This window comes from Homo sapiens, chromosome 15 (assembly GCF_000001405.40).
Source record: "Homo sapiens chromosome 15, GRCh38.p14 Primary Assembly".
Taxonomy (NCBI): Eukaryota; Metazoa; Chordata; class Mammalia; order Primates; family Hominidae; genus Homo; species Homo sapiens.
Genome location: NC_000015.10, coordinates 93,055,999 through 93,068,522, shown reverse-complemented (window position 1 = coordinate 93,068,522; position 12,524 = coordinate 93,055,999). Strand labels below are relative to the sequence as shown.

Genomic DNA, 12,524 nt, shown 5'->3' with positions numbered 1-12,524 from the left:
GGTTGGAGAAATGGCTAGTAGTCACTCCAGCGCTCAGAGGATGGGAGCTGGGGAGAGGTGATCTGTGGGCACAGATAAGGCCACTCTATGAGATGGAGAAGAGGAGGCCTTGGAAGATAAGAGGCTGAAGGTGGGGACCAGTTTACATGTTGGGGAGAGTGTCGTTCCTGCTAGAGATCTTGTCTTTGGTGAAATGTGCGAGGCCTAGAACTGGGCAGAGAACCCCAACTTTAGGTTTTGGTTGAGTAGCAGTTAGGGGCCATGCTGTTTTGCTGCTTGGCAAAAATTCAACCAGCCTTAAATTGAAGACAGTATTTCTTTGAAGGTAGCCAACTTATCCCAGTTTGCCCAGGACTTTCCTAGTTTTAAAACTGGAATCTATATGTCCTGAGAACTATCCTCAGTCCCTGGCACACCAGGACAGTTAGATTAAAACCCTAGTTTTATCCTCTCCTGTCCCCTGGACTCATGCCTAGCCTGTATCTGTTAGGGACTCCCCTGTCCAGATCTGTGAAGTCCTGGGTGTGAAGTGGGCCCCTCCATGTGGTCTAATCACCTGGGGCCATGGGTCCTTCCTCCTCCTGGTCCTGCCTGTTCCCTCTGTCACCTTGCTGCCATTGCAACAGCAGACAGGCTTAGGACCTGCCTGCCTCCCCCGATCCTCGCCATGGTGCCAAATGAATCACTCTGAAACTCCTGCCCAGGAGCTCATGGCTGCTCATGGCCTGCTTTGGAGCATCAGAAGGGAGGGTCTCTAACTCCCGGCCCCCGACTTTTCCCAAGCTCATTTCCAAGGCTTCCAGCACATCCCCAAGCCCTGGGTCACCCCTTTGCTCCCTGCTTGCCTCCCCATATACCACCCCACCACACCCCACCTGGCCACTCTAAGGCATTGCTCTGGACACTGCCCAGTTTCACCACTCCAAGCTCAGTGCCGTCTACAGGGGTCCAGTGCAGACCCCCCCGACGCCGGGGACACCTGTTACCTTGGTTGCTGACAACTGAGCCACCTGCTGGGCTTGGTGCCTCATGGGCCTTACGTTTTTGTCCTCTTGTAAAGCACCAGTTCTGTTTATAAAAGCAGGAACCTCATTTCTGTTTCTATATGCCCTTCTTTTCTCCACCCACCCCAAGCACACCCACATAGTCCTGGGAACTACAGGGCCCTTGGGTTTTTGTGTGTGTTTCTGTTTGTTTTGGGTTTTGCTCAATGGGCAAAGACCACAGGATTTTTTTTTCTTTTTTCCAGATACTCAAGTTTTTTTCCAAAATAATTTTTTCTGGTTATAAAAACAGTACTCATTTTTAACTCTGAAAGCTGAAAGGGATAAGTAATAAAATAAAAATAACCCAAAATCCAACCTCCCACAGACAACCATCACTAAATGAACATTTCACAAACATCTTTCAAGATATAATACCTTTATATCCTTCTCTCCAAAGTAGGATCATTTGAAGGAGAGTAATAATTTTTAAAGCTCTTTTGGTTGAGTGGCCACAGTGTAGCAGGCATTCTGCCAAATGCCTTAAGGCCATTCCCGTGAGGATCATCATTCCCATTTCACTGATGAGGAAACACAGGGTCAGAGAGGTTTTCCCGACATTGCACACATAGCCAGTTGCATGGCAGAGCCAGAAGTAGAACCCAGACTCCTGCCCTGAGCCCATGCACAGATTTTGGATAAATATGTCATTAAATATGCCATGTGGTGCCAGGCTCGGTGGCTCACACCTGTAATCCCAGCACTTTGGGAGGCCGAGGCGGGTGGATCACTTGAGGTCAGGAGTTTAAGACCAGCCTGGCCAACCTGTCTCTACCAAAAATATAAAAAACCGGGCGGCGGCGGGGGCCGGTACTGGACCCGGCAGGATGAGCGAGGTGGAGGCGGCGGCGGTGGTGACGGCAGTCCCCACGGCGACGATGCCCGGGGTGGTAGCGGTGGTGGTACCAGTGCCCGCAGGGAAGCCCCAGAAAGCAGGTGGCGGGGAGGGCGGTGGCAGGGGCGGAGTCGCCTCGGGCCCCGCTGCTGGGATGGGACCCCCTTGGTGCCTGGCCCCCGCACCCGTGGCAACCCGGCGGCAGCCCTGGCAACGACGGCGGCCTTGGAAACCCCCGCCCCCCGTTTCCCCCACCTGGAGTCACGCGAACAAGCTGGTGCTGCTGGCACTCCGAGTCCTGGGCACTGTCAAATGGTTCAACGTCCGGAATGGTTACGGATTCATCCACAGGAATGACGCCAAGGAAGATGTCTTTGTTCACCAGACAGCTATTAAAAGAAGCCCAGGAAGTTTCTGCGCAGCGTTGGAGATGAGGAGACTGTGGAATTTGATGTCGTGGAAGGAGAGAAGGGTGCAGAAGCCGCTAATGTAACTGGGCCCGGGGAGGTGCCCGTGAAGGGCAGCTGTTATGCCCCCAACCTACGTAAGTTTCGCCGATTCATCCCCCGGCCTCCCTCAGTTGCCCCACCACCCATGGTGGCAGAGATCCCTTCAGCGGGGACAGAACCTGGCAGAGAAGGGGAACGGGCCAAAGACTCCGCGCAGCGGCCCAGACGACGGCGCCCCCCACCCTTCTTCTACCGACGGTGGTTTGTGCGAGTCCCTCGGCCCCCCAGCCAGCAACAGCCTACAGAGAGCACTGACGGGGTAGAGCCCAAAGAGCCCCATTGGAGGGGCAGCAACAGCAGGGAGGTGAGCGGGTTCCCCTACCTCAATTCTGGCCCAGACCACCCCAGCCAGCCTACCACGGAAGGTGGGGACGGTGAGACCAAGCCCAGCCACGGTCCCGCTGATGGTCCCCGGCCTGAGCCCCAGGGCCCACGAAACCACCCCTACTTCCAGCAGAGAGGGCAGCAGGCCCCGGCCCCCGGCAGCCCGCAGCCCCTGAGACCTCAGCCCCTATCAACAGTGGGGACCCCGCCACCACCATCCTGGAGTGATTCCAACTCAAAGGACACCCAGAGCTGCCATCTGCTATCTGCCAGTTTTTCCAACTGACCTGTACCCTACCCAGTACCCTGTTCCCCGTTTCCCATAATTCATGGCATCAAAATACCAGCTTTTCATCTTTTCTTTGAGACTCAGGAGGGCCAAAGCAACAGCCTTTTGCTTTTTTTTTTTTTTCTTCCCTTATCAAGGGTTGAAGGAAGGGAGCTTACTGTTCAGAGACACCAACCCCCTCCCCTAACTCAGGCTGAGAAGGAACCAGCCAGCTCTCAACCTCCTCCTGGTTGTTTTTCTTTGCCCCCCAAGTTTATTTTTGTTTTCTCCCGGCCCCCAACCTCTGAAGCCATTTTATCATCTGTCATGTGCCACCTGAACCTCCAGTGAAAACAAAAACAGGCTTTCCTGTGGTCTTGGAAAAAAAATACAAAAAAATTAGCTGGGCATTGTGGCATGTGCCTGTAATCCCAGCTACTCAGGAGGCTGAGGCAGAAGAATTGCTTGAACCTGGGATGCGGAGGTTGCAGTGAGCCGAGATCCCACTGCTGCACTCCAGTCTGGGCAACAGAGCAAGACTCCATCTAAAAAAAAAAAAAAAATTACCATGTGGTATATTGGACTCTGTACTGTGTGGTATAGAAGGCTTGAGATGCGGAACAAGAAATAGACTTTGGGGATATGATGAGGATATGCATTTTCCAAGGATCTAGCATTTTTGCCTCCTCCCAAAGGCCCTCTGCCTCTTGCTCACCATGGCATAGCATTCTAAAGAGGACGATGCCACCCAGCCACAGGAAGACAAGCTGGCAAAGCTGTCATTGTGCACATGTTCCCAAGTCAGATTTATGTCTGTTGGGTTTTGCTTATGGATTCATTTCATGCACCATTTCACTCCAGCCGGCAGAATACCCGATTACAGTGATGCCTCCGCACCTAGGTCCCCGCAGAAGGAAGCCCAGTTGCTCCCTGTGCTAAGAAATGCCACATGAACACAGACCCACACACGCGTGTGCGCAGGCTGGGCAGGAGCCTGGCTGGCTTGCATTTGTTCTTCCCCCACACGCAGAAGGTGAAGGAGGAAGGCCTGCCTGCCGGCAGCATTGAGGGAGAAAAGCCACTTCAAAGGCATTTAGACCCGCAGGCTAGGCGGAGGAGCCCAGGGTCACTAGAGGCAGCGCCAGCCCTAGACTCAGGAGAAGGAGGTATGCCTCAAAGCTGGAGGACCAAAGTGCTCACCTGCAAGCATCGTTTACATCTGGAAAGTTATGTCTGCCTATAATCACCTATCTTGTGGAACTCGGAGTAGCTTATCTAACTCTGCCCTGAGACAGGATGGTGCCGGCGTGGAATCCTGTGTCCAGCCCTTGCCAGCCTAGGGCTCCTCTTGCCTAGAGAAGCTATCAGCCCCCCCACTGAAGCTGCTTGTGGCCTTGGCCAGAGGGTGAACACCACACTCTCACACCATCCTACTTGCCCGTGGTCTGCCTCCACATGGCCCCAGGAGGAACTGGGGGATGGGAGGGTAGTGTGGAAAGCTGAGGTGTGCCCTTTCCCTTGGCACACGGTGTGGTTTCGTGTAGCCACTTGGTATGAGTGAGGCTGGGGCAAAGCAGCCCTGGCTGGCTGTGACACGGGCAGTACCTCCTGCCTGAGCTCCGTGAGTGGCATTCGGCCACTTTTGCCCATGCTCACGTGGCTGTGAGTTACCCCTCCACAACCCCAGCACCCCAACTGACCCCCACCTCCACAGTCAACTGAGGTTCCCTGAGAAGCTCCCTCTTTCTCCTGTGGCTGGTTTCTAGAGAAAACCTCCTAGAAAATTTCCAGTGGATTCAAAGGGTGGGAGCCACATTGGAGTCACAGGTTCCTTGGAACATTCTTGGGCTAGACTCAGGGAGGAATGCATTTTAGAAAAGGTGACACATTCTGGCTGCTTGTAGGTTAAAGGTAGGGTCTGCTGCACCTGGTGAAAAATCCCGCGCTCACCTGGGTGTGTTCCTTTCGGTATCTGATGCCAAACACCTGGATGTTTACACCAGGATGACAGAGTGAAATTCCTGCAGGAGTGACACAAACAGGCAGCCTCAGGCATCTCAACTCAGAGACTCCCGAATACTGCTCTGGCCAGAGTTTGCCACATATGGGTGGTGCGTCTGTTCCTGTCCCCTGTGAGATCCAGCACTGAGGCACAAAGGACAGGAGAGGGTGGGGAGGGGTGGCAGCGTGAGTCTCACTGGGTGTGAGCCGGCCAGCCCCCTGGCTCAGTGCTCCCTCCTCCACCTCCTTTGAACGGGGGACATACCATGTGGCTAAGGAGGGCATCTCAGCATCTGCCGCTCAGGCTAGGTGGACAGTGAGGAAAGGGACATGGGAGGTCTGAGGCTTCAAGGCTAGTGTCTCCACAGGCGCTGGCAGTGATTTCTTTTTTAAGCTGCTCTCCCTCCCTTCCCTCCGCCTGCCTCCATCCTAATTGAAGCCATCGCCTCTTCAGTTACACTGCTTCCTAAAATAGTGTTCTGATCACGCCCTGGGTGCTCACTGAAAATGCTTCAGGGGCTCCCTGCCATCTATTGGAAAAAAGCAGAAATCCTTAGGCTGGTGTGCCAGGGTCCAATCAGAAAAGCAAAACCCACCCGGGATGTTTCCGCAGAGGGGACTTCGTGTAGGGCATTGTTATGGGCATGGGAAGACTGAAAGGGCAAAGAGGGACCGCTGGGACACAGAGTGGCAGAAGCAGCTTCCACCCCTGCAGCCAGAGGGACAGAAGGAAGGCAGGTTTGGAGGAGGGCCCGGGACTCTGATGGGGAAGAAGGGCCGCTGCTGCTGGTAAGTGGTGGGAGAAGCAGCCTTGGGGACGGCAGGTAAACCTGTCTCCTGCCTCCCACCTTCCCTTCTCCATCTAGTGTCCCCTTGTGGGGAAATTTAACAGGGAACCCAGTGACGAAAGAGATGGGGTTTGCAGAATCCCTGCACCAGAGAGCAAAGTGGTTTGAAGCTGAGCGACATTTGCTTCCTAATGGGCACAGGTGGCACTCTAGGTTTCCGTGTCTGGCCCCAAACTCCTGGCTACACTCTGACCAGCCAGCATGTCGCCTCCTGCCAAGCTCAGTTGTTCTGGAGGTCCCTGTCGTCAGATCTTTGCCCTTCATCACCCGTCAAATTCAGGACCTCATTGAAATGCTACTTCCCTGATACCTTCTCGTACTTCCATTCTTAAACCTTTGTTGCTGTTAAGTGTTGAGATGAAACATGTTTGCTTTGTATTCTAGAAGTTTATGTGATTGACCATACCTGAGCGCAGAGATTAACTGGGGTTTGTTCCAGAAACAGCATTAATCACAGTGCCCGGCACATAGAAGGGTCCAGAACTTGGAGCAAGTAATTGAACTCAGGCAGTTCCCACGCAGGCCACAGAGTTGGACAAAAACAGCTTGACCCTGGGGCTTGCACTCAAAATGAGCCTTACCCCTTTAAGAGAGGGCAGGTCTTTTCCCTCTCCGGCTCACCCCACCCCTCCTACACAGTAACTGAAACCTGATCTAATCCCTTTGCACGCGGGTAATTTATTGGTCTGTTGAGCTTTTCTTGGTGGCAAATTGCATTGTCTTTATTCCTGGGTTCAGGCTCTGCAGCAGCTCACTGCATTCCTAGGACTCCTTTCTCAGGGTCGATCCTTCACACCCCCTCGTGCACTGCAAAATAAGTCTTATTGGGCTTCGTTGTTATGCAAACAGGGCGGTAATAATCAGGCTATTATTCTGAAAGATTGGGCTTGATTAACAGTTCAAAGGAGGTCTCTGAAAGCAGCTAGTGCTTCATTGGTGCATAAATATTTTCATCCTGCCAGCGTTGGTGCAGCTGGTGCTCCAAGCGCCCTCCCCTATCTTTCTGATTCTCAGAGGTGCTAGGTTGCTATTAAAAGGAAAAGAACTAAGTCAGACGTGCTGTGTGGCTGTGAGTTTTCTTTCTCTCTACCTTATCTCAGTCCATGAGGAAGGCAGTCTGGAGCCCCCCTCCCCAAAAGAGTGAAATGTCACCTACATACATTTATGTGAGTTGTGGGGCAAGTGCATCTCCCGGGCACAGGGTCCTGGGTGGGAGGTTTAAAACAGCATCACATCTCTGATAGGGGCCAGGCGTGGTGGCTCATGCCGGTAATCCCAGCACTTTGGGAGGCCGAGGCAGGTGGATCACCTGAGCTCAGGAGTTCGTGGCCGAGCCTGGGCAACATCGAAACCCCATCTCTACTGAAATAAAAATTAGCTGGGCATGCTGGCGGGTGCCTGTAATCCCAGCTACTCAGGAGGCTGAGGCAGGAGAATTGCTTGAACCTGGGAGGTGGAGGTTGTGTGAGCCAAGGTCGCGCCACTGCATACCAGCCTGGGCGACAGAGTGACTCTATGTCAAAAAATAAGTAAATCTCCTGATAGGCTTTGGGTATGGAGTATGGACGCCAGGACGAAGATGGGGGTCCCCAACCCTCAGAAGACTGACATGCAAGTGGGGAAGAGGCCGCTCAGCGGCCACCTCCTAGAGGAATATCAGCTGTGCAAGGGCAGATGGGTGACACTGACAGTCCAGTGACAGCCAAAGAGAGGAGCAGCTGGAGAGACCAAGAAGGTGGCGCAGGGAAGCTGAGGGGCCATCCTCGACAATCACAAAGCCGCCCTACTTCAGCCTTTCCTATGTGACTCTAGACAAGGGCCAGGGGAAGTCCTGGGATGCCGCAGTGCATCCACAGCTGGAGCTGTCCAGAGCAGGAGGGGCCAGCCCTGCCCCGGCAGGAGTGCTGCAGGGAGATGTCCTGCTGCATAAACTGGTGACCTGTGACATCCCCAGGCTCCCAGGTTCTAAAATTCCGTGGTGTGCCTTGAAAAGTGACCATTGTTTTTGGTCACAAAGTGATTGTTGGGGCTCTTTGATAAATTTGATTGCACGGAGAAGCCATGAGCTCTGGCCTGGATTGCTCGAGTCAGGAGCAAATGGGTCAGATGGTTGCCAGGGGTCCCAAGCTGAGCACCAAGGGCCCACCCCGCCCCCATCGGGTCTGGGAGCCACTCTGTCTTGTAGGCATTGCCTGGGCATCACCGCTTAAGCTGAGTCCCTCACCCCATGGGGCTCCGGGACAAGTTTAGGGGATTTCTGTTGTTGGATCTGGACAGGGCCAGAGCACTGTCTTTGCACACTTCTGGATTCTCCTTTTTGCCCCACTATAGCTAATCAGGAAAATTCAAGGCCTCAAGAGACCTGGGTCAAAACAAGACATGCAGTGCACATAATACCCCATAATATGCTTCTAAGGGGCATAAAGCTCTGTGTCTGTGTCTCTGAGGTCGAACCCCAGGTTGCAAGGCTTACCAAGGGGCCGGAGGGTGGCCCCTGCCCAAGGACACACTCAGTGGCTGGAGTAGAAATGGAAGCTCAGGAAACTTCTTAGGTTTTTCAGTCCCCTGGTTCTGTGTGTATTGGCTGTCCTGGATCCATCAAGAGGCAGCTCCAGAGCTAGAAGGTATAACTTTCTGGACTGCAGTACTGGGCAGGTGTGCTCAGCTCACACCCTGTGGGGCAGCTGGCTCTGTGTTCAACGCAGCTTGCTCTGAAAAGCAGCTTTCCTCTTCCGCTTGCAGGAGTTGCTGTAAGATCTGTTTTTCAGCTCAAACTTTCCTTCCTTCTTTCCATGGACGTTCGCATCAGAAAAGTCTAAGGTTTATTGCCTGGAATTGGGGTCTTTTTATAAAGATACAGCACATAAAAATCGGCCTCTCTGAGATCTCTTTGGCAGGTGACACCACAGCTATTGCTTTTGATGCTGGGCCAGATTTCATTCAGGTCCTTGACCTCTGGTGGGGGGCTGCAGTTGGTGATTTAGTGCCGTGGAGGCAAGGTGACTGGATGGCCGTGGAGGTCAGGGCCCCTCACTCCAGTCGCTGCCCGTGGGGACTGCCCAGCCCCTCGCATGGGAAATGAGGCCACACACACACATTTCTGGGACCCATCGTTCCCAGAGAGCTTCCTTTCCACATGGAGAGATGGCAGAGGGGAGCAGTCACCCTTTATTCTGGTCCCAGCTGGTCACTGTCAGTGGCCTTTTCCAAGTCATTCCCTTGAGCTTTGGAAGAGAGGAAGCCTCGTAAACTCTTAGGAAGATCTGCAGAGCTGGATCCAAGTTCCCTGAGAGTTTGGGACACCTGGGAAACCCAAGAAGTCGGGATGGGTCAGTTGGCAGCAGCCGCTGCTCCTGGTGGGCTCCGCACAGACCTTTGTGGAGGGAGGGCCCGGAATCGATTAAGCTTCTGGTTACTGCCCTGAGACCAGATGGGTCTGCGGCTGCATAGGAGACCCGCATCATGCTTTTGGGCCTTGGGGGAGCTGGGTCAGTCTCAGCTGGTGTCCTGAGGAGGGACTTGTGGCAAAAGCATCTTGAAAAGCATAGAAACAGCTCCAGGCCTGCCCATCTCAGCCCCAGCCCTTCCACTTGTGTGACCCAGGCCCGCTCGAGCCCGAAGCCTCCGTGTTTGCATCTGCAAAATGACGATCAAAATTCTTGCCCTCTAATCGGCAGTAGCGAGGATCCAACAGGAAAGCAATGTGTCACCTGCACAGGCCCCGGGAGCGCAGGCTATTTTATTGTCACGATCATGTTTTGTTTTCTGGGGTGAGGCCCAGCCCACGTACCTACCCAACCTCCCTATGCAGTCCTGGGTGCACAGCCTCTTCCCCAGTGAGGCCCCCAAGACAAGAACTCTTGTCTTCGTTCGTCTTTGTGGCCCCGCAGCACCTTCGTGTTGCCCGGTATGGAGCGTGTGGAAATCCGAGAGGTGTGAAGGAAGAGGAGAATGCAGCTTGGGGGCTGAGGGCTGTGGTTTGCACCTTGCCCCCTTCAGGGTACCTGAGGGTGGGGTGGGTGGGGAGCTATTTAATGCCTCTAGGCCTCAGTTTCCCTGTCTGTTGAATGAGGATAACAAGTCAGTCCTGGGTCTATATTAAGGGCTAAAGGAGACACATGTACAATGTCTAGCCCACAGTAAATGCTCGATAACACATTAGCTGTTAGTTAAGCTCAGCCTCTCCCATAAATTGTGATTAAACAAAACAAAGTTAACACAAAACTGGCTGTCACAGAGCTTCCTTCCCGAGTCTCCCGGCTTTGCTCACATCAGTGCCTGCAGTCCCTTTAACACCCCTCTGGTGAGGTGCCCGTGCATGCCTGTAGCTCAGAAAGGTCAGTGAATTTGCCCACAGTCACACAGCTCTGGAGTGGCGGAGCTGGAGTTGATCTCGATGCTCTGCCCCACCACAGTAAGGTCCACCGCTGCGGTGAGACCCTCCCACTGGGCACTGCCCCATAAGAACATCTCACCTGTTGCCTGTCGACCCTGAATTCTCTCCAGTTCTCTCTGGGTGGGGAAATTGCAAGTATCCTTATTTTTCTTTCTCATATAGGATCTAAGGTCTCTTCATTTACTCATTAACAAGGGAAGGACAGAGGCAAACTTGTTGAAATTGTGCTTCAGGACCCAGAGTTTCTCACCGCATCTTCTCCCAGAAAATGTCTCAGCAGAAGAGGCATTTTAGGATGCCGTGAAAACTTGGGGAAGGAAGGGGTTGTGACAGGCAGGAAACCGAGTGCTCTCTGTCAGGAACAAGGACATAGAGACTGGACCACACAGGCTGTGGGGTACAGAGGTCTCCCAGCAGAGATACGAGAGCTCGATGTGCCACCCCCCAATCTCTCCCTCTGAAGAGCCAAGGGGATCATCCCAGGCCTGGGCAATCCCTGGGCGAAAACACGTCCTTGTCGGGAAATGGGAAAATGGGGTAGGTGAAGTTAAGTCAATCTGGTCCTTTGGTCTCTGGCCAGACAAATGTCTCCAGTGATACTGGCAGCTTCTGCAGAGGTGACTTGGGAGGGTGCAGGAAGGAGAGGAGGGAGGCGGCCAGTTTTCCCTCTATGACTGTCTCTTTAGCTTGGCCACCATAAGAAAATACCCCAGCCTAGGAGGCTTAAGCAACAGACGTTTATTTTCTCAGCGTTCTGGAGGTGGGAAGTCCTAGATCCGGTACCAGCATGGCCCAGTTCTAGAGAGAGGGCCCTCCTCCCGGCTCTCAGACTGTGGACTTCTCATTATATCCTCACGTGGCAGAAGGAGGGAGAGGGGGCAGGGAGAGAGAGAGAACGCTTAGCATTCTCCAAATGTCTTTATTTTAAGGGCACCAACCCTGTCGTGGGGGCTCCACTCTCATGACCTCATCTGAACCTAATTACCTCCCAAATGTCATCCCATAAGGGATTAGAACTTCAACCATCACATTTAGGGGGACAAAGTTCAGTCTATAGCGCTCTCCCTGGGCGTGAGTGAGGTAGTGGGGTGAAGCCACCTGGTGCCCATGGGAAGCGAGGCCCCCTCGACAGTCATGACCATTGACTGATCCTGGACAGTCAGTGGATTGAAGGAGCTGCCAGGAGTTGGGGGACCTGGATCCAGGTGGAATCCACTGCGCCCTGAGAGTGAGTGCCAGCAGGGCCTACCCCGGGGAAGGAGGGAAGAGGAGAGATGCCACATCTGCTGGAGCTTCACCAGGGAGGGGCAGGCTCCCTCCAATGCCCCTCCTGTCCCCCAAGTCTGTGACTTCTAACCTCTGACCTCCCGGGGCTGCAAGCATTGTACCCCACTGTGGCCTTTGTGGGGGACCCTGTTTGTTGGATGCCCCTGGGGCTCCAGGCACGCCATGTACATCTCCTCATATCCTCAGCGACCCTTTAAGGTGGACACAGTCTCTACTTGACAGTTAAGGAAACAGGCTGAGTCAAGTTCCCGAAACTACTGGTAGGGGACAGAGTGGGACTTTGAACCAGACACCTCCCTTCAGGGCCTGTGCTGGCCCTCAGCCCACCCAGAGCTGGGGCTGGCAGAACTTGGAGGGAATAGTGGGGCACGGAGCTCACCTCACCACCAGGGTCCTGAAGCCTACAGAGGAGTCGGGGAGACGGGGACCCTGGTTCCTGTGTGCAACGGTTCCAGAGTGTGACCTCTGCCACCATCTTTGAGTGGCAGGCAGACAGCTACGCCTGCTGGGTGAGGGGTGGTCTTGTTCTTAGAGTGGGTGGGGTCTGGGAGGAGGAGAGGAGCAGGAGAAGGTGCCCATGTGGAACGGAGAAGTGAAAGGGCCTCGTCTCAGGCGCTTCTTAGCCGCTCTGCATCAGGGCTAAGGTGGCCGCATCCCTGCTGTTTGCTCCTGGGGGCGCTGTCTGCCTCTTGCCACTCCTTTGCCTGCAGCCCCCTTCTCTGAAACTTCGCCACCAGCCCCCTCCCCATCCTGGGGAAATGTCGCCTTCACACACTCCGGGCTGGCCCGGCTCCATCAGGCACTAGCTTGGCTTCTGTGACCGTTGAAAAGAAAGTGAACCAACTCTGAAGCCTCACTACTCAAAGTGGGCCGGGGACCAGCAGCATGGGCCTCTCCTGGGAACTTGGTAGAATTGCAGAACCCCTGGGCTACTGGGGCCTGCCGAGCTGGGTCCCAGGCCACCCAGTACAGCCTCATCTGGGGCTACCAGATCCCACTCTGTGGCCCTGGAG

General features: G+C 54.2%; 1 protein-coding gene and 1 pseudogene across 6 annotated transcripts in view, besides 3 other annotated features; both read left to right on the top strand.

Moving 5' to 3' along the window:
* The window catches only part of RGMA (repulsive guidance molecule BMP co-receptor a), a 53,941-nt gene that overhangs the window by 20,689 nt on the left and 20,728 nt on the right, over positions 1–12,524 (top strand). The gene's annotated exons all lie outside the window — the stretch shown is intronic.
* On the top strand, positions 1,840–3,344 carry YBX2P2 (YBX2 pseudogene 2; annotated as a pseudogene).
* Positions 2,346–3,309: an enhancer, noted in NCBI's record as "H3K27ac-H3K4me1 hESC enhancer chr15:93608443-93609406 (GRCh37/hg19 assembly coordinates)". NCBI's record gives its function as "activates a minimal SCP1, AML or CMV promoter by ChIP-STARR-seq in naive H9 embryonic stem cells {active_cell/tissue: H9 hESC(naive)}" and the evidence as "EXISTENCE:reporter gene assay evidence [ECO:0000049][PMID:30033119]".
* Positions 4,269–5,065: an enhancer, noted in NCBI's record as "H3K27ac-H3K4me1 hESC enhancer chr15:93606687-93607483 (GRCh37/hg19 assembly coordinates)". NCBI's record gives its function as "activates a minimal SCP1, AML or CMV promoter by ChIP-STARR-seq in naive H9 embryonic stem cells {active_cell/tissue: H9 hESC(naive)}" and the evidence as "EXISTENCE:reporter gene assay evidence [ECO:0000049][PMID:30033119]".
* Positions 5,862–6,659: an enhancer, noted in NCBI's record as "OCT4-NANOG-H3K27ac-H3K4me1 hESC enhancer chr15:93605093-93605890 (GRCh37/hg19 assembly coordinates)". NCBI's record gives its function as "activates a minimal SCP1, AML or CMV promoter by ChIP-STARR-seq in primed H9 embryonic stem cells {active_cell/tissue: H9 hESC(primed)}" and the evidence as "EXISTENCE:reporter gene assay evidence [ECO:0000049][PMID:30033119]".